Source organism: Homo sapiens, chromosome 8 (genome assembly GCF_000001405.40).
Source record: "Homo sapiens chromosome 8, GRCh38.p14 Primary Assembly".
In the NCBI taxonomy this organism is placed as follows: domain Eukaryota; kingdom Metazoa; phylum Chordata; class Mammalia; order Primates; family Hominidae; genus Homo; species Homo sapiens.
In genome coordinates, this window is record NC_000008.11 from 25,431,289 (window position 1) to 25,456,967 (window position 25,679).

General features: G+C 36.1%; 1 protein-coding gene and 1 long non-coding RNA gene across 7 annotated transcripts in view; both read right to left on the reverse strand.

The window, feature by feature from the left end:
* Positions 1 to 25,679, reverse strand: part of KCTD9 (potassium channel tetramerization domain containing 9) — a 30,587-nt gene that overhangs the window by 3,442 nt on the left and 1,466 nt on the right. For 2 of the 6 annotated variants that reach the window (NM_017634.4, XM_047421914.1), the window contains exons 2-11: positions 14,841 to 14,962; positions 13,004 to 13,047; positions 9,289 to 9,385; positions 8,318 to 8,376; positions 7,991 to 8,119; positions 5,130 to 5,197; positions 4,947 to 5,042; positions 4,075 to 4,224; positions 2,042 to 2,147; positions 1,216 to 1,349 (exon numbers count right to left, since the gene is read on the reverse strand). In NM_017634.4, coding sequence (NP_060104.2) covers positions 1,216 to 1,349; positions 2,042 to 2,147; positions 4,075 to 4,224; positions 4,947 to 5,042; positions 5,130 to 5,197; positions 7,991 to 8,119; positions 8,318 to 8,376; positions 9,289 to 9,385; positions 13,004 to 13,047; positions 14,841 to 14,962 — 1,005 coding nt within the window. Of the gene's footprint in view, positions 1 to 1,215; positions 1,366 to 2,041; positions 2,148 to 4,074; positions 4,225 to 4,946; positions 5,043 to 5,129; positions 5,198 to 7,990; positions 8,120 to 8,317; positions 8,505 to 9,288; positions 9,386 to 13,003; positions 13,048 to 14,840; positions 14,963 to 25,679 lie in introns of those variants that run through there. The other 4 variants (XM_047421911.1, XM_047421915.1, XM_047421912.1 and 1 more) reach the window with 4 other exon arrangements.
* Positions 18,235 to 22,287, reverse strand: LOC124901913 (uncharacterized). Its single transcript, XR_007060862.1, has 3 exons — positions 22,256 to 22,287; positions 19,092 to 19,193; positions 18,235 to 18,382 (listed from the first exon to the last, which is right to left on the reverse strand). It is a non-coding gene; the product is annotated as an uncharacterized LOC124901913 (long non-coding RNA).

Genomic DNA, 25,679 nt, shown 5'->3' on the forward strand with positions numbered 1-25,679 from the left:
ATAGCAAGGAACTGCCCTTCTTTTTAAAGCCCCAAAGGTACGTATATAATACAGTGAGTTTGACAGATGTACAGAACAGTGTAACCACCGCAATTTGAAGCTATTTCTTAATTTGTCTTGAGATCACGGAGCAATAAGATAGAGATTCCACTTAAGTCCCTGGATATGATAGGGGACAATGGTTAGAGAGAAGGGTGACTAAACGTAACCTGTTAGGAGAACAAATGTCAGCAGCTCTCCCCTCAATAGTCAACCTGATCAGTCTTTGCAATCAGAGAGAGGGAGGCTTTTGCTGCTAGGCCACACTGAGTACACAGTACTAAAACCAAGGAAAAAAATATAATCTTAGGTGAAAGTAATGTAACAAACAATAAATAATTGTGCTCGTGATAGGATTATACTTAGGCCAATTCTTTTTGCCTTGAAGTTGAAAGGGGCCTGCTACTCTGCTACCGAGAGCTATCAAGATATCTAGGCAAAAATATTATGAAAAAACATTAACAGCAAGCTAAATTTTGACATACCGTTCTCTGCTATCCAATTTATACCAGATTTCATAGCTACCAGCCACATGTGGCTACTTAAATTTAAATGAATTAAAATTAAATAAAATTTAAAAATCAATTTCTCATTTGCACTAGCCAAATCTCAAGCGCTCAATAGCTATATATGGGTGGTAGCTACTATACTGAACAGCACAGATATAGAACATGTCCCTCCTGCACAAAGTGCTATTGGATAGTGCTGATATAGACCTATCAACAGCTATCAAGTCTGCTAGCTAAACTGGCAAATTAAGAAGACATACAAATATAATTCTTTGAAAAAGATGACCAGGCAAAATTATAATCTCAAGCTGAAAACCAAAAAACATATGGTTCCAATTTCAAATAGACTTTTCCTGAACCTGATTTCAAACCTGGATATCATTTAAATTTCTCAAGTAGTTTAAGAAGTAATCTAGCCCATTTAATTCTATTCGGAATTAAATTTTATGGAAAATGCAATACATTAGATAACACATCTATCAAACTTATTTACTTGAGAAAAACTCAAGGAAAAGGAGAGAAATGAAATCAACTTAGACTGAATGTCAGATGAGTCTTCCAATCCAGTTTTACCAGCCAACTACTTTGTTTTGATTTCAATAAATTTTGCATGAGATGCTTAGTAAGTCTAGAGTAATAAAAATTCTTAAAGTGTTGGTGAACTCACCTCTAAATCAGTTCCTGCCAGAGTTGCTCCTCTGAGGTTACAGTTCTTCAACTTTGCATTTTTTAAGGTAGCCACTCTCAGGTTAATTCCTGTCATCTGACTTCCTTCCATATCCACACCTTTCAGATTAGCACCTACAGTGAACACATTCTGGGAGTAGTTTAACTTAAAAATATAGTTATCTACCTTCAACAGAACTGCAAGATGACTTAATGGAGGCCTCTTTTAACTTTTGGAAATTAATCTAAAATCTTGTCTCTCAACGAACTTATATATATAAACAGTTTACTGATGAAAGAATGCTTTCACAATACTTTTGAGGGAAGAAATTTAGTTCTGTCTTATGATAGTTAGCACTTTCATAATATGCCTCTACAGGTTTATGATAAGGGAGTGAAGTAGTCTCCTAAATATACAAGTAAACAAAGTGATCAGTCACAGATAGTAACAAATTAAGAAACAATACATTAAATCTAAAAATGATTTTTAAAAACTCCCTGGCTTTATGCAAATGAAATTTTTCCTTTTGGTCAGTGTAAGAATATTTTATTCCATTTGAAAGTTTAAGATGTTGATATTTAATTTTCCAACTAAAACCTTATTAAATATTTGAGGTTTTATTTTTTCTGAGTCCTCAATTTTGATTAGCATTTGACTGAAACCAAATGGAGGTTTCTTACCACTTTGGAAGTTCTCCAAATATGATGACAGAAGAAACCTATCCCCTACAGCTATCCTGTTTCACCCTTAACAATTATTTTCCAGGGCTTTTTTCCTTTACAGTCTGCTTCCTTCGTAGAATAGGTATTTACAGAAAGGATCTCACCTTCTAAATTGGCTTTAAGACCAGAAGGATCCTCAAAATTACACAGTTTCAGGGATGCTCCTTCTGCATTAGAACAGAGCATCTTGACTCCCTGGAGATTCGCACACTGCAAAGAAAAGAGAAAAGTCCTGGTTGTAAGGTTCATAATTTTGTTCAAATTAGCTCAAACAGTAAAAGAAAAAAAATAGAAAAGAGGGAAAGGCTCAACTCAAAACACTCATACTCAATTTTATTTTCTGTTTACAATAAAGGCTTTTCTAATTAAATACAGTAAGAACTGGGAACATTTGAAAGAAAAATTTTTTTAAAGAACTGTTTTTTAAAAAATAAATGCAAATTAACAATAGCATGCTCATTTTACATGAAACATAACGGTTTAGATAAAGAAGTTGGGTGAGTCAGAACTCTGACACCTCTATCTCTATTTTTATAAACATACCTATGCATGACAATGAAACAGTCAAAATGTATGGGTAAGGAAGGCATAGACTTGTTAGGGGTATGGATTTTCTTATTACTGTAGGAATCTTGATGTTCTAAGTGAAATTCTTGATATTCTAAGATGCTACTACTGCCCTCAAGTCAGAGGTCAGAATACAAAAGCCAGCATTTAAAGGCATTATTTAGCTAGAAAACACTAACAAGATGCTGGCTGGGTCTTTCTGCACCAACCATGGCTAAACATTATTAACCCTGAGCAGGCACATCACAATGCATAATGCAGGGCAGAGAGTAAAATGGTAGAAAATATATGTTTTAAGACTTTATTTTTTTGTTTTGTTTTGTTTGAGACAAAGTCTCACTCCGTCACCCAGGATGGAGTGCAGTGGTGCTGTCTCAGCTCACTGCAATCTCTGCCTCCCAAGTTCAAGTGATTCTCGTGCCTCAGCCTCCTGAGTAGCTTGAATTACAGGCATGCACCACCACGCCTGGCTAATTTTTGTATTTTTAGTAGAGACGGGGTTTCGCCATGTTGGCTAAGATGGTCTTGACCTCAAGTGATCTGCCTGCCTCTGCTCCCCAAAGTGCTGGGTTTACAGGCATGATCCACCACACGCAGCCAAGAGTTTTAAATTATGTTCATTTATCTCAAAGCGTTTTTGACAAACATCTTTTTTTTTTTGTCCTTAACACAAACAAAGATGCCTCTCGACATTTCACTATTTAAAGATTAGGTCCTTCAAACGTTTTTTTGATGTTAGTCTTTTTCCTGTTTTGCTACTAACCTGACCCTTCATGATAAGACAGAATAAAGGACAGTGAAAGTAACTAAAATGCATATTTGGTAGATTTTGTTACTCGCCCTGATACACAGCTTCATGGAAAAATAAGCTGCAGCTAATGAGTAAAACCCAAATTAGAGTAATTCAATAAATGACTACCAAAAGCAAGATGGTATTAATTCAAAAGACATACAGACACGGGCCTTGGTGGTAAGGAACTTAAAGTTGTTAAAAATTAATAGATTTCATTGTTGGTCTGCATATATCCTCTAACTTCAAATAAACACAGATAACTGTTATAAATACATACATATACATATATATAAATATACACATATATGTAGAGAGAGGGAAAACGCCACTGAGATGTTAACTTCCACAAACTGATGCATACCATGTTTATTTCAAAATATCTGTCAAATACTTCTTGAGCAGTAACATTTTCCCATTCCAGAAATGAGGCTGAATAGATTTCAAGGTTCCTTTCAGCTTTACCTTTACAATTAGCTGAAAATATGAGTCCTGATAAATAAAGTACAGTATATTGAGGAGATCAAGAACTAATTCCAAGATTTAATTTCTTATTAGTTACTAAACCTTTCAAGTCTATGTTTAATAAAGGATATCAAACCTGTAAAACCAAATTCATTTCACTTTCAGACCTTTAGTCTTATATCAACATAATAAATTATCTGTTTTCAAGTAAAAGCTCCAGTAAAAGATAGTTATAATTCCTGTCTCAAAGGCTCTTTGAGACTGTTCAATAGACTAAACATTTAATTTTCTCTTGTAGCCTAAAATGATACTTACGTCAAGCACTGATCCAGAGAGATCAGCTCGTTCAAGATTTGCACAGCAAAGATTTGCATGTGCAAGATTACAGCGGCTTAAATTGGCCATTTTGAAGTTAATGTATCGAAGGTCCAAACGAGAAAGATCAGCACCACTGAAGTTCAAACCCTGAAATAAAAAAGCACAAATTGTCACCATAACTAAATCGTCTGTTTGTATTAAATTTAATTACTATAGCTAACCACCAAGTTTTTTTTAGAAGCAATTGGCAGTTCAGTCACTTGGAGTTTATTACAGAACATGATAAAATGGAACTTAGATACATAAAAGAAGTGTCCTTAAATAGGTTCCTCATAAAAGAAACTCTATCAATATATACATTAGAATATAGCCCGGCTATAATTCATTTCTGTGTAGAAGCTTCTAAAGAGGGATCCCTGTTAGTCCTATACCTGCTAATAAGTATTTAAACCTAATTATATTTAAATTATTTTATTAATTCAGTAATTCAAAACAGTTTATTAGGCAAAAATGAGTACTGTGGTCTTTACAATTTGAAATGCTATAGTACACATAAGTAAAGTACCTGCCACTGATCAGCCCATATATTGCAAATGTACAAATACTGACTTTTAAAAAACTGCTGCAATTTCTATGCATTATTCATAAACTGTTGCATGAGGTATAATTAGACAATTTAAAAAGGCTATTATTGCATCTCTTTTTCGTTAACCATTTCAGAACTAAATCAATGCTATGACTCATAATTAAATTAGATCTTGCATGTAAAAGAAAAACAAAGCAAGATAATCCCAAAACACTAGAAGAATGTAAAATTTTATTCATAGATTTGCTGATAGAAATAATTGATGTAAAAGCCTGCTAATTACCTGGCATCGCAGTTCTGACTTGGTTGGAGTTGCTAGCAAAAATCGGACAAATTCCTTTCGGGATATTGGTGAATGATCCTCCGGTGGTTGAGAATTCTTAAAAAAGACATTAAGAAATTAGTGGAGTCTTTTGGGAGATAGCTACAATGAATGTAACACTGGCTAATGTAAAAACAGGCTTACCTTTATTGCCACTTCTAGGTGTTCAATCAATGAGTCAATACCAAAAAATCTTGCTTCTTCTAACACACCTATCAGAACAAAAATAATTCTGAAACAACCTAATTTAGTGAATGTATTACATTCATTTTGAATTTACTAAAATACGATTAGTTCACATAATCTTAACATTTAATTGCCTTTTTAAATGGAGCAGATCTGAACAGGTTTGCCACAAGTATCTTTTACATACTGAATCAGAAAATGATAGAAATGAATAAAAGTTTAAAAAGTACAAAAAAGTCAAAAGTATAATTCAGAAATCTGTCTTATAGGAGAATAAATTTTAAAATATTTGTAAATACTAAAAGAGCTTTCATTTATCATTTACTTTAACTTGGTAAAAAAAAATGTACATCCTTTACATGACTTGGTATATTTACTTATTCTAATCTGTTAATAAACATCATCAGAATGTGTGGGAATACATTTGGGTTCCATTATCTTTCAAATGAGAAGACCTCAATCAGTTGGCTGTTGACTCAGTAAAAAACTACTTAGAACTCTGGAATTACAAAGAAAGTATCAGACATAATCCCTCCCTTCAAACACTTACAAGCTAATAAGGGTAAGTAGATACAGAAAACCAGAAGCAGTTATTTGGGAAGAATAATACAATCTTTTCTGTGAAGACCAAACTCTATGGTCAACAATCCAATTGTAAAACAAACGTCATCCAAGGTACAGCATCGGGCTACCACTCTGGCATACAGGGTCCACATTTCCCCTTCAAGAGGCATCCAAAGATTATGCCATTCCGTTCGGATATATATCCCTGGTGGAAACTCAACATATTATAAAAGAGGTTCTTGTGGGCCACGCTCTCAATTTGCCAAGGTCTAAGTAAAGCAGAACTCTTAGGGAATGCAGCCAGGATACGTTTCCAATTCTAGGTTTAGAATTAAACCTTTAAAACATCCAGAGAAGCCATAGAAATACAAAAGACAGGCCGGGCTCACACCTGTAATCCCAGCACTTTGGGAGGCTGAGGTGGGTAGATCACTTGAGGTCAGGAGTTCGAGACCAGCCTGGCCAACACATGGTGAAACCCTGTCTCTACTAAAAATACAAAAAATTAGCCAGGCGTGGTGGCAGGTGCCTGTAGTCCCAGCTACTCGGGAAGCTGAGGCAGGAGAATGGCGTGAATCCAGGAGGCGGACCTTACAGTGAGCCGAGATCGCGCCACTGCACTCCAGCCTGGGTGACACAGCAAGACTCCATCTCAAAACAAAAAAAATACAAATATTAGCTGGGCATCATGGTGTGTGCCTGTAATCCCATCTACTTGGGAAGTTGAGGCAGGAGAATCACTTGAACCCAGGAGGCATAGGTTGCAGTGAGCAGAGATCACACCATTGCACTCCAGCCTGGGTGACAGAGCGAGACCCTGTCTCAAAAAAAAAAAAAAAAAAAAAAAAAAAAAAAAAATCTGGATTTGAATCCCAGCTCTGCCACTCACTACTTTTTGGTGTTAGTGAAATTACTGTAGATTGTTTTAAAGCATATAATTACTTGGGGCAACCTGTAGGCAATGTAAAGAGTTTGGATGGAAACTGTACTAACTGAAAACAATGCTTTATAAAATGAATCCAGCAGAGAGCTCTGCTTTTTGAACACTTGAACAAATAAATGGTTGAGAAACATGAAAAAGAAAAAACTAGCAAATCTTGGTAATAGCTTGGTTTGCAGATGTGTGACACAGCATGGATAAATATATTTCTGACATTTTCTAGGCAAGTGGGATACAAAATGCTATCAATAATTTGAAGAAAAATTAAAATGGGAGAAATAGAAAGCAACAAGAATTTAGTTATAAAGTTATAGAACTAGCTAAAAGGGTCAAATAATATCTTTTTTTTTTTTTTTTGCAATAGGTACATGTTCAAGGGAATATAAAGTTTGTTATAGCAACACTAAAAGTTAATGGGTGTTTTGTATTTCACTACAGAAACTGTAAGCCAGCAGTCCTCAGGCTGATTCTGATGTGTTCAGCATGTAATGTTTTCAAAACAAAAACATGTCACATAAAATTTTAGATACCCAGGTTTTCTTTAAAAACCAAGGTTCTGGCACTCTACGTCTGACCACTTTGCACATGGCAATGATCTGCTGAAGCTGACAGGCATGTGACCTCAAGATTGCCAACTGCCTACCATTCCTCAAGTACTAACATCACATCAACTTCAGTCACTTGGAGGCCTATTAGCTTCCAAATATGCAACCAGTGTTTTATAAGGGCTTTGTCTACATCACCTCCGTGAATCTTCACAAAAATCTTGTGATGTAGATAGGGTCAAGAGTGCTTTTAACACTCATTTTTCCAATATGACTCAGAGAAATTTCCCCAAGTTAGTCTCCCTAAGTTAGCAAGTTGTAGAATCAAGACTCTAATTGAGAATTATGATTGCAAGGCATGATTTGCCCTCTTGACTACTCTAGTTCTCACATAATGTGGGGAATATCCAGAACTTGGAGCCAAGTTACATTCTTAATTCAATTTTTAAAAAAGGAAACAACAAAATCCTTTAAAGTCACTTGTGATAGAACGTAAATCAATTTAGAATATAAAGTTGATGCGTATGGCTTACATATTTAGCTATATGTACAAAGACTATCTACCTGAAGGACCACCTGCCCGTGCCTAAATCTATTTCTACACCTATATCACTCATATACATGTGAAAACATCTAGTTTAAAAAATAGAAAAAATATATACTTTTACTTTATGGAAATATACTGTTACTGAGTGAAACAAAGTTAAAATCTTAAACTTACAAAAATGTGAGTAGTTACATAATTATATTGAAAGTCTAAATAAACTCACCCAATAAATTAATGCCATCATTTACAATGAGCTGTCCATGACGCAAGTAGTTCAAAATGGGTTCGAAGTACTCAGGACTTCGGTCAATTAAGAAAGCTCCTCTATGATCTTGCTTATTTCCCCAGACACCTGTGTCACCATTATAATAAAGAAAGTCCCCCATAAACAAAAAATAAAGTCAGAAATGTATGAGGAAAAAATTGCTAAATATAAGTTTTTACTCTTAAAAACTGACATAATTAGTAAGTACAGAAGGTCAGGAGTTATAAAGTCAGCACAGATATAAAACAGGTAAGATGAAATGTGAAAACAACGTGTTACACTCACCTTTGTCCTTAAACATGTGGGCCAGCATACTGTCAGGTTCTTTATTCACTAAAGTGCTCCTAAGAATTCAGGGAAAAAAATTGATTTCTCCATTTGTCTTTATAAACAAACATATTTAAGTCAAGAGTATACTCGATCCCAGCTGCTCTCTCAAAAAGATGCATGCTACAACCTGGTAGGAGTAACGCTGGGAAACAAAAACGTGCAGTAAGTTGCCATTTATCAGATCCCTTCTAATAGGGTACTTCCTTTGATTTAAACATTGTTTTAGTTTCCTTTGCTTTAAATACTTGTCTGTCTATCCTGTAAGCAAATTATTACATAATAATATTCTTGATCTTCCAAACTTACATTTTTCTGCCCTTTAATAAAAGCAGTTGTAGTCTCCACAAATTTCAGTAGTGTTAATTTTTACTTATATTGTGTGTTTATTACTCAATATCTAAAAAGCATGTTTTTTTTTTTTTTTTTGAGAAGGAGTCTCACTCTGTCACCCAGGCTGGAGTGCAGTGGCAGGATCTCGGCTCACTGCAAGCTCCGCCTCCCGGGTTCACGCCATTCTCCTGCCTCAGCCTCCCAAGTAGCTGGGACTACAGGCGCCCGCCACTACGCCCGGCTAATTTTTTGTATTTTTAGTAGAGACGGGGTTTCACCATTTTAGCCGGGATGGTCTCGATCTCCTGACCTCGTGATCCGCCCGCCTCGGCCTCCCAAAGTGCTGGGATTACAGGCGTGAGCCACCGCGCCCAGCCAAAAGCATGTTCTAAAACACTGAAGTGATGCCTTTTATGCTTTCTCTGGAGTGAACCATGTTTTTTTCTTCAAAAAAAGTTATAAAAAATGGTTTCAGATCACATAGTATATTTAAGCAGCATTTGAGTATCTTTTAAGGAAATCAGCAAATTGAAGAACAAAGGGTACACAGTGCTTCTTTTGCATTCTCTTTCTAACACACATACACACACACCTACCGTGTAGTTGTAAAGTACCGCCCTCCAACATTTAATGTCAGCCAGTCTGTGTGGAATCCTAACAATCCCTCAGGAGGCTTAGAATCTGTCTGAGGATCTAGAGATGACATGTAGAAAATAATACAAATATTAAGATTGGGGATTCTGGGAAGATGGTAATGGCATAATTTTTTAAACTGAATACACACATAATAAAAGCATACCAGAGCTACTAGGACAGCAATACCCAAACCCACAGACTGCATCTAAAACAACACTAGGTGATAAGGTAGTCCCACCAATACCAACAGCTATAAGAGCAGCATGCTTTCAGCGCCTGTGAAAGAAAAAGCAGAGAGAAGCAACAGGGTATATGATGAACCCATGAATGTTAAAGCCATCCATAGATACTGACTTCATTGCTTAATAAGTCTAGCTGAAAACAACAGATTGAGATCATCCCAAAAGTGGGTGATGCAAGTAGTTTGCAGTAAGATCTTATAGGGCTGAAAATAAACTCTTAAAACCAAATGGCCAAAACTCCCTTCCATGGACAAAGCCCCATACTGATAAGATGCTGGGAAAATAATCCAAGTTGAATGCAACAAAGACAACAGAGACAAAAAAAAAAAAGGACTGCAGATGAAAGTTAAGAGGTTTAATAGACCAGAATATATCAGAAAATGAGTTCTGTGTATTTTAAACACTTCACAAAAACAACAGAAAAGGGAACTCTAGAGCCATGAAATTGGAAAAACTGTCCTGTCAGCCCTCTTTTCAAGTTAAGAAAAACTAATTTCATATAAAAATGAGCAATACAAAAAGACTGATCAAATGTTAATACAAAAGTGTTAAAATAATAATTGTCCTTATAGATAATGAAAACATGCCAGAAATACCCACAAAATAGATCAAAATTATAATCTAATATTCCAAAACATGCTAAAAGAAGTTTATACAAGGTATAAAACAACAATATAAACCAGGATTTAAAAATTCAGAAATGAGTAGCAAGAACTCCCAAGAGAATTAGAAATAAAAGAAAAATGATTTTTAAAGACTAAAGCAAAAGAAATACAAGAGTGATTAAACACAATAGACAATGACTTAAGGGAAAGAAAAGGTAAAAAAGAGAATAGCTTGAAAAATTAAAAAGAAATGGTCAGACGTGGTGGCTCATGCCTATAATCCTCTGGGAGGCCGAGGCGGGTGGATTGCTTGAGCTCAGGAGTTCGAGACCAGCCTGGGCAACAGGGCAAAACCCCAAAACCCCATCTCTACAAAAAATACAAAAAAATTATCCGGGCATGGTAGCACACATCTGCAGTCCCAGCTCCTGGTTGGGGGCTGAGGCAGGAGGATCACTTGAACCCAGGAGGTTGAAGCTGTAGTGAGCCAAGATCATACCACTGCACTACAGCCTGAGTGATGAAGTGAGGCCCTGTCTCAAAAAAATAAATAAAATAAAAAGAAAGGAAAAGAAAGTTTCAAACATAAAAGACAAGTGTAAAAGATCCACCCTACATACAATAGAGTCCTGAAAGAAGGAAATCAAATCAAAGTGAACAAAATAAAAATGTCAACTTCAAGAGAACTGTACTGAAATTTTAAAATACATACACTTGAAACTATATATTGAAAGGATCCATCACATACTGAGAAAACCAATCCAGAACAACTCAGAACACCAATAAATATTCTACTAAAATTACTGTACTTTAAAGAAAGAGAAATATCCTTTGGGTGATCTATGAAAAATAATCACATAAGAAAGATCAGATTTTTTGAGACCAACACCTCAGGCCAGAATAAAATGCAGTAACATATTTAAGATATTCAAAGAAAAATAATGTGAACCAAGGATTTTTCAATAGCTTCACTGAGGTATAATTAACACAGAACAAGTTACACATACTAAAGTTTATAATTTAATAAGCTTTGACATATAATTTTATACCAAAATTATATAAAGATGGTGGATGGCAATGGCATCTTGCCATTGGAAGATGTCACCGAATATTGTTCTCATAGTATCTTGGAGAGAAATCTACTAGAGAACAAGTTTCAGATAAACACTGGAAACATAACAAAAGGACTGGAGGTAAGTGTACGCTTGAAGAAGTAAAACTAAATGAGTGTATAAAGGGAGACACTATAATATACAATGGCTATATGTTCCGACAATTCAGAAACAATACAATTATTTTTAAGTAAGGGGAGAAGGGATTTAGCATATGAAAAACATTTAACTGTTTTTAGTAATTATATTGGTACTGAAAGTATTGAGTTTGTTACTCTGACATTTTTAGATGTGTTCTGTATGGGGTAAAGTAAATGAGTAATTATGTGACATTATAATTCTATTAGTCTCCATGTCCCTGAAAGTCAGGACTATTGATATAGAAAAAGGAGACACAGATGTAAGACAGAAGAGGATAAGTAAAAACCTTATAATCCTTAATATAAACTTTAAGTACTACTATGAAGCCATGAGTTATTTCATCTATCCATATTTTGTTATATATGACATATAAACTTTATATCCTATAACATACATTATATACAAATTTTATCTCTACCTATATATTTTCAATTCTGTCCACCAAAAGGCATAGCAACAATAATGAACCCAATAGCGAAGAGCCTCCCTAGCACCCAGATTTGTCTTGGAATGACACTTCCCACTAAAAAAATCAAGGCTTGTTGGAAAAATGTTGATCCAGGTCTGAGACAGGAAAAGGTTTTAAGATGAACACCAGTTATTCCAGATAATAAGAAAGCCATAAAATCCAACAAGGTTTGTTAAAAAGACCCGAAGAGATTTCCAGTGGCAAAAAATTAAGACCATCTGAACATCAATAAATGCAGAGGATGAAAATATACCAAATATTTTTAAATCCATGAGTTAATAACAATAAAAAAACCTTAATTGATCATTTTTTATTGTGTTTGTATGCAGTGGACCAATTAAGTGACCATTGCCTGCCAGTCACTGTTAGGCCAATGGATAAAAGAAGATGAGAAGTTCTTGCTTACAGTTTTAAGGTAGAGACAGACAGACAAGAGTATGCACTTACTTCTAAGTTGACAATTGCCTGTGCAACAATCGTGAGAACTACTTCCACTCACCAAATGCAATTAGTATGATGCTTTAAAAAATACTTAAATATTCAGAGTGTGGACTGTATGGATCTAAATAAATCAAATACTTTATCTTCCTTTCGGCCTTTTCTTTTGAGATATACAACTATAAGCTTTCTTCCAAATCAAAGGGTAGTGTGTGTGCACACCTGTGTGTGTGGTTGATACCAAGTCATTTTTTGGCTGATCTGATCACTGTGAAATACTGTCAAACACTACTTACGCAAGCAATATTTACTCACAAATATGTAATACAACACGTAGAAAAATTTTGACATTCACCATCAAAGAAAAAATTTTCAAACAAAACAATTGTTTCTAAGATCAAAACTACCTTACTATGTTACAGTTAATGAATATGTATACCTCCAGAGCATTTTAACGGCATGTAAAACATGCATCTATAATAAACTACGATCATATAGTAAAAAATTTACTTTAACATACCCAATGCAGAATCAAAAAGTGTGAAGATTTGAATACAGCCATAAGATCATTTTTAATGTTTAAGCTTAATAGCCCCATTTAAAATAATTGTCATTCCATCTTTTTTTTTTTTTTTTGGCAGATAAAATTGGCTTTTAAAGTCACTTACCAATAAATGGCTCTCCTTCACAAACAAACAAAACATCATCATCCCTGGGGAAATCAAAATTTAAAAAGCTACCATCAAAATCTAAAAATCACATTAATTATCTGTTGCTTATAGGAACTATTCCTTACAATTATATAGACAATAGGTTTTGCTATCAATCTAGACTGCAAAGAAGCTAAGTTTCCAATGCTTTGTTTAACCCCTTGAACTTAACTGTCTTTGAATTTAAATTCAAAAATAAGATCTTGCACATGAAAGTACTTTTGAAATGTGGGGAAAAAAATCTCCTTACACAAACGATGTTGAGTTCAGCTTTCTTATCAATTGAGAATGAATAATTATGCTGAAAGGATAGATTAAAGTCACAGCCAACTATTCTTTTTTTCTTTACATTTTTTACCCCTAAATCATCAGCTGTTGTGTGCTTTGGAGATGAAATAAACTGTCATATTAAATCTAGGAAAAATATAGCTGGAAGTAACTCTACTGTCAGTGTTTACCCACTACACATCCACCATACACCCAAATGTAAATGGCTGCACATAACCCAGAGTTCTGGACAATCAGTGCACATCCTCTTCCTCAACCCATTACCCCAGATACTGTATTGTGAACCAAAAATGAATAAACAGATATCTTATAGCTCAGAAGGCTTCAATTATAACCTTCCATTGTAGACGTTTTTATTTCCTATAGGACATCACAGGACACGTTAAATTTTTCTAAGAAGCAGAGTTCGTGTTTGTTAAGAAGAAAGTTAGGTTGATGAGGATCATCATCCAACAATGTGACTCAGTTTTCCTTAGAAACTGAAAGAAGCTGGGAGATACATATTGAAAAACTAAGAAGTTATCCTAATTTATTTGGATTTAAAATGTAGTGTATAGTATTTCCTACTTGTTCACCATGCCAGTTTACTTTTTCAGATTAGTATAAAAATCTGTTTTCATTAACAAAACCCAACTAGCTGTATGACCTGAGTGAGTCCTCAGCTTCACAGGTAATTCGTTTCCTCATCTGTAAAATGAAGGGTCTAGAACTGATTAACTGCAAAGCAGTATATTATACTGAAAGGTCATTTTGATCTAGATTTATACAGAGACTTTGTATATCATTATAGGTTAAAGCATCATTATCTTCACATCACTGATAAAAAAAACTCATGTTTTGCCAATTAAATGGTATAACTCAGGCAAAGCAATGATAACATAAGTGGCATAGTCAATACTTAATTTGTGTTCCCTTTACCATCTTCTTTGTTAAGCATCTTCCTGCTCCAAAATTCTCTGACCTCATGAAGATGAAGTAAGGTGAACTACACACTTGTTTTAAAGAGATAAATCTGCCTGAGATATTTAAGGTACAAACATAAGCCTATAATTATGGTGGATCACTGGTGATATCACTACTTAGAATTCTATCATATTTATAAAGTTTTTACAAAATCTGGCCTTTGTAATGATTATAAAATGCAAAGCATTCTTAGGAAATGATTAACAAGCAGGCGCATATAAAAGTGAAGAGATGAATTAGATTTTTAATGTTAAAAACTGCACGTCTTACTAGATCCTTCTCTAGTACCACAAAGAAGAAATTCCTCATAGCTATATATGAACTATGCAGAAAGACTATCAGTATACTGAAATGTACTAAGGGTTTTCTAGCTGATCAATTCACCTTAAGCCCAAATGATTTAAATTCCAAAGAGCAAATTCTAGGTAAACACTTGCCAAAATCCTGTACTCTTAACAGTGATTAAATTACTGCTTAAGGGAAACAGCATAGCACCAAGAAGTTGAGGCACACTGTTGACAGCTTATAAAAAGGTGAAGGTTACCTGATCAAAGCAATATCATCAATCAGTCCACCTTTCCCATTATACACACTGGTGGCTTTTATGCCGAGTTTACTGCTGGCCACAGAAAGCAAATCAGATAAAGTTCCATATACAGCAACCACCTGTAAACACACCAGAATAATATGAACAATTTCTTTAATACATGTTATCCCCCATAAGTTATAAACTACCACACTAGAACAGTGCTAAAAAGATTATCATATAAAAGGAGACTTCAAAAGGTTCTTAACAGTGCCCCCTTTTCTTCCATGACTCATTTATTCACTTGGTGCCTAATATTGCCGACTCCTCAACTAGAACATAAGAAATCATCTCTGACCAAAACAATCTACAATCCTAAGGTGTGTTAAATAGCGCTCCAGTTGTGAAGTAAGATAGACCTACACTTCGATCTAGAGTCTGACATTTTCTAGCTGTCAACTTGAGTCAACCTACTGATGCTTCTGTTGCTTTAACTAGAAATGAAGAAAATAGTAGCACCTACTTCAGAAGGTATTATGAAATGAGTTCATGCATAAGAGCTTAGCAAAGTGCCTGAGACCTAGTAAGTCCCTATTATGTTGTCCTTTTATTATTTATTTATTTGAATGGTTCATCCTTAGAACAGGAGTGTGCTGGTACTGTTTATTATATCATTAACGACATCAACTACCACAGAAAAGATAACTTCTCACCTCATTTATTTAATTCTTCACTAACTAAGCCAGATTTTAGCATCTAACATTTAAGAACAGAGCAAACAGCTGGGTGACAATGAATTGATGTGTCCTGCTGTGAATCAAGCAGTCTGATATATGTGCAAGATACATGCAACTGTCTAAGCAGGGTGCTGAGAATTTCTACATGTAAGTGAATTTTGTGCCCTGGTCCTAACTGTAACTATGGGTTCCCAGCGACTGAGTTGTGCAGTTGCACCATTATCAGTTATGACCTCTGAAAGTTAGGAATAAAAACTAGGTAAGGGTCGGGCGCAGTGGTTCATGCCTGTAATCCCAGCACTTTGTGAGGCTGAGACGGGCAGAGCACTTAAGGCCTGGAGTTTGAGACCAGCCAGACCAACATGGAGAAACCCCATCCCTACTAAAATACAAAAATCAGCCAGGTGTGGTGGTGTATGCCTGTAGCTACTCCAGAGGCTGAAGCATGAGAATTGCTTGAACCCAGGAGGCAGAGGTTGCAGTGAGCCAAGGTTGCACCACTGCACTCCAGCCTTTATGACCAAGCAAGGCTCTGTCTCCCCGCTAAAAAAAGAAAAATAAGTAGGTGAAGAGCTAAACACGAAGCACAGTCAGCTAGCTCATGGACGTCCCAAGATTTATTATGTCAAGATGCCATATGAAGTGAGCACTAAGGCTGGTCCTCTGTCCACCAGTGACTGGAATAGAGTGGACAGTTTCTAGTTAAATAAATACAGTAAATGGAGGACATGGAAAAAGCTGCTCGATAACATACGAGTGTGCAGTTTTTCAAAAGCAGAGTACTCAGATTCTAACTTTTTTCTCTTGGATCAGAAGGATGAAAGCCAGAAGAGTGCTGGGGCATTTTGGAAAGTGTTGAAGGCAAGAAAAATTTAAGCGGAACCAAGTGCATTATAAAAAATAATGTACAACCCAAGTGTCCATAAGCAGGTAATTGCATAAATAAAATATGGTATATATATACAATGGAATATTATTCAGCAATAAGAAACAATGAGGCCAGGTACAATGGCTCATGCCTGTAATCCCAGCACTTTGAGAGGCTGTGGCAGGTGGATCGCTTGAGCCCAGGAGTTCGAGACCTGCCTGGCCAACATGGTGAAACATGGTCTCTACAAAAAAATACAAAAAGTAGCCAAGCATGGAGGCACATGCCTGTAGTCTTAGCTGCTTGGGAGGCCGAGATGGGAGGATCACTTGAGCCTGCCAATTCAAGGCTGCAGTGAGCCAAGATCACGCCACTGCACTCCAGCCTGGACATGATGGGACGGAAAAGAAAAAAGGAAAGGAAAAAGAAAAGAGAAAAGGAAAGGAAAGGAAAGAATAAAGAAAAAGGAAAGGAAAGCAAAGCGAGAAGAGAAGAGACATGAATTCTGACACATGCTGCAACATGGATGAACCTTTTTGACAGTATGCTAAATGAAATAAGCCAGTCACAAAAGGATAAATATTCTATGATACCACTCACATGAAAGTACCCAACACAGGCAAATTCATAGAGAAAGAAAGCAGAATAAAGGTTACCAAGGCATAGATGGGAATGGAGACTTATTTCTTAATGGTTACAATTTCTGTTTGGGATGATGACCAAGTACTGGAAATAAACCGTGGTGATGGTTACACACATTGTGAATGTAAACAATGTCAATGAATTACACATTTAAAAAATGGTTAAAATAATAAATTTTGTTCCATCTTTTATCACAATAAAAAAAATACTGCAAAGCACTTGGCACAGTGTCCTACACACAGCAGGCTTGCCATAAATAATTAAAGCCTGAGTAGGGCTGGGCGCGGTGGCTCACGCCTGTAAAATCTGCACTATGGGAGGCTGAGGCGGATGGATTGCTTAAGCTCAGGAGTTCGAGACCAGCTTGGGCAACACAGTGAAACCCCATCTCTACTAAAATACAAAAAATTAGCCGGGCGTGGTGGCGTGTGCCTGTAGTCCCAGCTACTTGGGAGGCTGAGGCAGGAGAATTGCTTCAACCCGGGAGGCAGAGGTTGCAGTTAGCTGAGATCACACCACCACACTCCAGCCTGGGCGACAAAGTGAGACTCCTTCTCCAAGAAAAAAAAAAAGAAAAAAAAGCCTGACTAAAACATGTCCCCCATATTTCCTATGATTGTTCACCTCTGCAACACAGTGAGGTATTCTGTAATTGCATTATACACATTCCTGGGACAAAGCGAAGCGAAATACAGTACCTAGGGCATTGCACACGGCAAAGCTGGGGTTGTGTTAAGGCAAAGAGCATGAAGAGAGTAAAGACAGAGAAGAGAGAAGCAAACATGCAAAGGAGCAAGAGATTGACCAAAGCAGATGCAAAACAACTCCTGCAGTCAGAAGGTGCTGTGAAAAGAGGGTAAGAAGCACAAGCACCTCTTTCCCAATTCAATGTTCTTGGCATAGTTGCCATCATACAAAGAATTTTCTAAATCTTTCTTTTCCCTCTTATTTACCTCTGGCTCTTACATCTCAGTATGGCTTTCTTTTGCCTGATATCCCCTCCTTGCCCTAACATCAACTTTCTCTCTCAGCATCTCTTTCACTGTTCTCTCTTGGCCATACCAAAAAATAGATGCAAGTTGAATGCACCTGCCTGTATTATGCTTAATACTTAATGTAATATTATAGCTTAAGATCTTATATGACTTATTCAAAATACACTAACTTGAATTGTCGTCTACTTCCATATGATTGACTTGGTTTTTCTGTGGGTCTATTGTCTTCCGATGAAAATAAAGGCCACCTGCCATGTTTTAAAGCTGTGCTGTCCAGTGTGGAAGCCACTAGCTTCATGAGTCTATTTAAATTTTAATCTATTAAAATTAAAAGTTAAAATGCAGTTCAGTCACACTAGCCACATTTCAAGTGCTCAACTGCCACACTGGCTAATTGTTACCATATTGAATAGCACAAATTTCCATCATCTCAGTAGTTCTATTAGACAGTGCCATTTTAAAGAGCAGAAAAAAAAAAATGAAGAAAAAAAAACACAACTATTTTAATTCTATTAGGCTTTCCCATGACATAGGAACCCAAAGTAACAAACTGATGAAATACAACTCAAGACCTGTTTGTTGTTTTATTTAGAGGGTTGGGATGTTGCCATCTTCTGTTTCTTCCCCACTGAAGTCAAATGTGACCAGATGATAGAAAAAAACCACACATACTGCTTGGCAAGGACTATTTTCAAGGCAATCAAAGTACAACAGGTATTTCCTTGTAGGCTGTAAAACTACTAAGGAGCACAGTCTAGGTATAAATTGAATTCAACTTTTATTGCCACTTAAATCAATCCTAATAAGGTATCAAAAACAATTTACCGTATCACTAAATATTTTCTAATCTGGCTGTCTGCCTGGATCCTAAAGGTCCAATAAAAAAAATTAATTTGCAAAAAGTTGTTATGAATTCTGTGAATAGAGGTGACCAATTATCCCTTGGTAAAGCTGATAAGCAGCACTAAAGAAGTACATTCCTGAGCTGTTCTACTAATAACCGCCATAGGTTCAAATGGTACATTACCTGGCTTACAGCAGGTCTTTGACAAATATTTCTTGAATGTTGAGTGTTGAAGTAGGACACACCTTTTTTGTGTGACAGTCATATTCATTTAAGTCTCTTACACTGTCATTAGGGTAAAAAAATACACAGTATAAATGCAATTCTAAAGCAGTCTGGGCATGGTGGCTCAAGCCTGTAATGCCGGCACTTTTTGGGAGGCCAAGGTGGGTGGATCACCTGAGGTCAGGAGTTCAAGACCAGCCTGGCCAACATGGTAAAACCGTGCCACCACGCCCAGCTAATTTTTGTATTTTTAGTAGAGACGGGGTTTCACCATGTTGGCCAGGAGGGTGTCAATCTCTTGACCTCGTGATCCAACCGCCTCAGCCTCCCAAGTGCTGGGATTACAGGCATGAGCCACCACACCCTGCTAAGTTTTTTGCTTTATTTTGTTTGTTTTCCAAATTTGTTACAATGAACCTATATTACTTTTGTAATAAGGGGGGAAGTTTTAATTTATTTTAAGGTCTCCATAGCTCCAGATACTAGTTCTATAAATAAAATTATTTTAGCAGTTTGCAATCAGGCAGTTAACAATTTCCTTTAAGTGAAATAACCAAAGGGTGGTCAATTAGAGAAAACAGAATTAAAATTAATACGAAGAATCTTATAGTTCTAGAAATTTGAAAATTTCCCTTAAGTTGGGCCAATATACTTGTTTTCACTTGGAGGGCTATTCTTGACGTTTGTTTTCCAACTAATCATTCGCACATACTAACAATACCATACAAATAAAAAGGAGTTATGTTGCAATACTAATATTCAAATATGCAAAAACTCTGTATTTTAAACTAATTAGAAACCAGGTTTTAAAATATATATATCAACATAAATTTGTCATACATATGGAAAAGATGATTAAGTTACGGAGAAAGTTGCAAACAGACTGGCACATGCATTCTTCTTTATATAACTCTTTTGAGAAAGAGGAGCAATAAAAATCTTGTATATCATGGACATAAGCTCCAGTTAGTATATACTAAGATTGTTTTTGTCCTCATACTGAGCCAAATAAATCATAAAATGATAGTGCTTACAAAGGTCATTTACTTTGTATGTGTTATCTCCACCATGTGGCCTGATGTTTCCATGTCACTGGGATTATCTACCTTAACAACTTAGGCCCTAAGAATAGAAGCATTTTACATTTATTGAGAAGCATGTCTATTAAAGTTCATGATGTCTGTATTATACTACTTTTCAGAGTCAATTATTTTTAAATTTCAGATCCCATGACAAGTGAAAGCTGCCTATGAGTTGGAGAGTAAATGGAACACCATGCCTAGTACGATTGGCTAGTTTTAATTTACCTTTAAACACCATTTTCAAATTGTAACCTGTATTATTTAAATTTAAAAATTAAAACCTGCACATGCATGTAAAATATTTTTTTCTTTTATACCCACAAGATTTATTACATAATACACAATAAATACACAAGTATTTGTGTATTTGAATTCAACTTTTATTGCCACTTTAATCAATCCTAATAAAGTATCAAAAACAATTTACCATATCACTAAATATTTTCTAATCTGGCTGTCTGCCTGGATCCTAAAGGTCCAATAAAAAAATTAATTTGCAAAAAGTTGTTATGATAAATACACAAGTATTTATTGTGCATTATGTAATATACAATACACATAAATTGTTGAATTTATGCAGGCTGATTTACCCAACAAAACCACTAATCACCACTAGTAACTAAATACAGAACTCAATTTTCTCTACCTATACTTTTAGTCAAATACATTTTAAATATTTACATGATCTTATTCTTTAAAAGATGAGATAATTTAAAAAAAAGATGAGATAATTAACTCTAAGGTGAAAAAAGAAAATTTTAAAATGGAAAATACTGGTAATATCAAGTGTTGGAGTGGATGTGGACCAATAGGGAAGATTTATGCAATGGTGGTGGGAATATAAATTACTGCAATGACTTTGAAAAACAATCTGGCATTATTTTGCAAAACTGAATATTTACATATTCTAACACCCAATAATTACAACTATGTGTCTATACCTTAGAGTGGTGGTTCTCAAATGTGTGATCCTGTCACCTGCAGCATCTGAACCACATTTCACCTGCAAATTAAAAATGTACATTCCTACCCCACCCCAGACCTACTGAATATTAATCTTTGGGGATGAAGTCCAGCAGTTTTCTCAAGTCCTCCTCCTCCTCCAAGTGACTCTGATGCATGCTAAAGTTTGATTAACTACCTCCCTAGAAAAATGCTTGCTGCTGTGTGCCAGGATACATATACAGAAATATTCATGACAGCACTGTCAATTTAACAACAAAATATAAAGAAAATAAACAACCTAATGTCCACTGACAGGAATATCATGGTAGTATTTGTATAACATGTACTTTAATAAAGCAGTAAAAATGAATAAATTATCACTATGTCAGATATTATGGTTGGAAGAGAATTATATTGAACGAAAAAAGCAAGGACTGGCCTGGCATGATGGCTCATGCCTGTAGTCGCAGCACCTTGGGAGACTGAGGAAGGAGGACTGCTTGAGGCCAGGAGTTTGAGACCAGTCTGGGCAATATAGGAAGACATTGTCTCCACAAAAAACTATATACAGTATAATATCAATTTGAGATACCGTATGTCCCGAAGCTGATTTTTTAAAAATGTAACTTAGTGGCTAGGCAGAGTGGCTCACGCCTGTAATCCCAGTACTTTGGGCGGCTGAGGCGGGCAGATCAGGAGGTCAGCCGAGACCAGCCTGACCAACATGGTGAAACCCCATCTCTACTAAAAATACAAAAATTAGCTGGGAGTGGTGGCACGTGCCTGTAATTCCAGCTACTCAGGAGGCTGAGGCAGGAGAATCGCTTGAACCCAGGAGGCAGAGGTTGCAGTGAGCCAAGATCGCGCCACTGCACTCTAGCCTGGGTGACAGTGCGAGACTCTGTCTCAAAAAAAAAAAGGTGAGGGCCGGGCACGGTGGCTCAAGCCTGTAATTCCAGCACTTTGGGAGGCTGAGGCTGGCGGATCACGAAGTCAGGAGTTTGAGACCAGCCTGGCCAATATGGTGAAACCCTGTCTCTACTAAAAACACAAAAATAGCCAGGTATGGTGGCGGGCGCCTGTAATCCCACCTACTTGGGAGGCTGAGGCAGGAGAATTGCTTGAACCCGGGAGGCGGAGGTTGTATTGAGCCAGAGATCATGCCACTGCACTCCAACCTGGGCGACAGAGTGAGACTCCGACTCAAAAAAAAAAAAAAAAGGTAATTTAGTTATGCATATATATGTGACAAAACTATTTAAAAACACACGGCAAAGAGAAAAACAAAACAGGAGTACAGGAACGTGGATAAACACATTATGTTATTGATAACATGCTACTTCTTGGGTTATCTGGCAGATTTACAGATGTTTGCTATATTATGTTCCTCTTTTTATGTATATTCTTTATTGTATTCTTTTCTATGTATCAAATATATTAAGAAATGTTCAAGCTTAAAAAGTGGGCCCTCACTAGGTTCTTATTAATGTTTAGCCTTCAGAGGCAGAGGTTCAGATAAATTTTCACCTTTCTCCAACTCTAACAACGTAATGGATTCAAACCTGGATACTTACTACTAACAACATATTTCTTTTTCATTCTTTGTTGTTGTTGTTGTTTTAGAGATGGGATCTCACTATGTTGCCCAGGCTGGTCTTGAACTCCTGAACTCAAGCAATCCTCCCATCTCAGCCTCTCAAAGTGCTGGGATTACAGGCATGAGCCATTGTGCCTGCCCCCAACATGTTTCTGACCTAATACCAAAACCTGAAGAAAAGTTATTTCTTGGACCAAGAATGAAAACACGGTACAGAATGAAAGTATTTCCTACCCTGTTTGCCATGTTTGGCATGATGCCACATACTCAGAAGGCATTTACTAAGTGTTCACTGAATGAATGAATGAATGAATGATGAATTAATCAGTATACAAAAGGCCTAGGACTTGCACAGCTCATTATTGAATATTCTGAAGTAAAAAAAGCACTCTGTGTTCAAGACGTATAGAAACTCTGCACTGACATTAAGTTGCTCAGAAGCCACACACTGCATGCAGATGTGCAAGTCCCCATTTCAATTTCCTTAATGCCAACTCTTACAGGGAATATTAAAAAGAATAACGAAAATGTTGAGGCACATGGAAAAAGGATGACAGGTACAAACAACATAACTGACTCTTTCGGAGCAGTTTTAAAAAACAAAAACAAAAAAAACCCTCAAAATTTAAACCAAAGATTCCAGTGATTAGAACTAAGGCCTTCAAATGTTTCTGACCACACACCCCATTGGTAACATACTTTTGGGCATGTACTCAAACATCTGTATATTTATGTATTTATGAACTACATTCCACTGTTAGAAAGTACATGTTTTCCCAAATGATGAGGACTTTCAGTGACTCAGACTATGAATTAGCCACTAAGAATCTCCTAAATATTTATCATTAAATTTAGTGAAATTCTGCCAAATACAGGATTGACTTTAAACATTAAAATAAGCCGGGCATGGTGGCTCACGCCTGTAATCCTAGCACTTTGGGAAGCCAAGGCAGGTGGATCACATGAGGTCAAGAGTTCAGGATCAGCCTGGCCAACATGGTGAAAACCGTCTCTACTAAAAATACAAAAATTAGCAGGGCATGGTGGCAAGCCCCTGTAATCCCAGCTAAGCAAGAGGCTGAGTTAGGAGAATCGCTTGAACCTGGGGGGCAGAGGTTGCAGTGAGCTGAGATCACGCCACTTCACTCCAGCCTGGGTGGAAGAGCAAAACTCCGTCTCAAAAAATAATAATAATAAATAATAAATAAATAAATAAAAGTAAAAAACAAACAAAAACCAAAAAATCAGAAAAGAAAAAAATCTGAAGCCATTTGTCTTCATGCACTAGAACTTATTTCTAAATATCTTGCTAACTAGGATGACTCATCCTATCAATGGCTAATATTTCAAAGAATAACATACACTTAGGGAGAGGCTGATTATTAATAGCAATTAATAAATAGGACTTCAAATATTCTTCTTTAAAACTCAGCACTGTTTCAACTTCTCAGGTCCAAAGAGACCCACTCTTTTTTTAGTCTCATGGTTTATACATACTAGGAGAAGTGGCAGCTTCTGCCATTTCCTCATTGTTTACTTGTGCTTGCATAATTAATATTGTCTCAAGCTGCAGTTTCTTTGAAGTAATCCTTTAAGATCACTTGGCATTTTGGTGAGGGTTAATTTGGTTAAAACTAGATATAAATCTTAATGTGCCGGTTGTAAGCTTCCATATCACAATGTCAATGACAACCAATCTGTGAAGAAGACACTATTAACCTTTTCACATGTGAAGGCCGTCCCTTCTTACAGGAGACCTGAGACCAGCTGAATGTTCAGTGACTGGAGGCACCTGTGTCTTTCTAGATCGGAAAAATCAAGTTTTCACATTATTTTATATTTTTAAGTGTAAGATATAAACAAAAGGTATATTTCTTCCTGACCTCCAATAAATCGTCTTGGACACTGTCTGTGGTGTGTCATCTCACTCCAGAAACCACAGTTTAGAGAATGCATAGCCCTCTCTCCAACGTCAAATACGTCCACCACTAGTTACATTCATTCAATACACAGACAATTCCTGGCGAGCATATAACACAGCACCTTGGAAGAATTCTGTGCCTCTCCACGCCCTTCCCCAGGCTTCATAGTCTCACAGTCTGGTAACTACTAAACAAGCTATGAGAGGGAAACTTACTTGAAAAAACAGAGATTATTCTTATAACCAGGAAACAAAAGCAGAAGCGAGGTAAGGGAGATAAAGTAAGTGGTACAGATATTCCAACTGGTGGATGGGAAATCAAATTCTATTCTATTTGAGTAGCACTTTTCCCAGCTTATTCTTAATGAACATTCATGTCATGATCATGCCAATCCAATTAGTCACTTTATATATAAAAATGCAAGCTGTTATGTATTATGCAGCTCTTTTGTCAAATAAGAATAATTATAAATTTTTTTAATCAACTGAAGGGAGAGAAAACACTGCCAACGTCTTAGAATATGTTCATCAGCTGAGCAGTGAAGATCATGGCTTTGCTTCTTTTTATCTAGTACTCTCCAGTTTGGATTTTTACGTTGTAACATAAACATATTTATATTTAATTATTTGAGATGCATTTTCCCCAATCTTCTGAGATTCTCTAGCAGAATATTTTTAAAGTAAATAAAATTTAAATCCAAGAATCTAATCTAGTCAAAACTAGATAGCTTAAAAAAAAAATCCGTGTGAACAACAATATGGAAAGACCAACTCAGTTAATTTTTGACAACCAAATTGAGTGGATTTGGGAGAGATTTAGAGCAAAAATATTTATGACTAGGTTTAAATATTTGTCTTCCATGAGTAACATAGCAGAGATACTGCATTAAAAAGGTCAACCAGAAGTTTGTTTTTGAGAAATATTACCAATTTTGAACATACTAAATCTTTCTTAGAGTAACAACATACGTTTTAGATAACAGGTAGTAGCTAAGTACAGA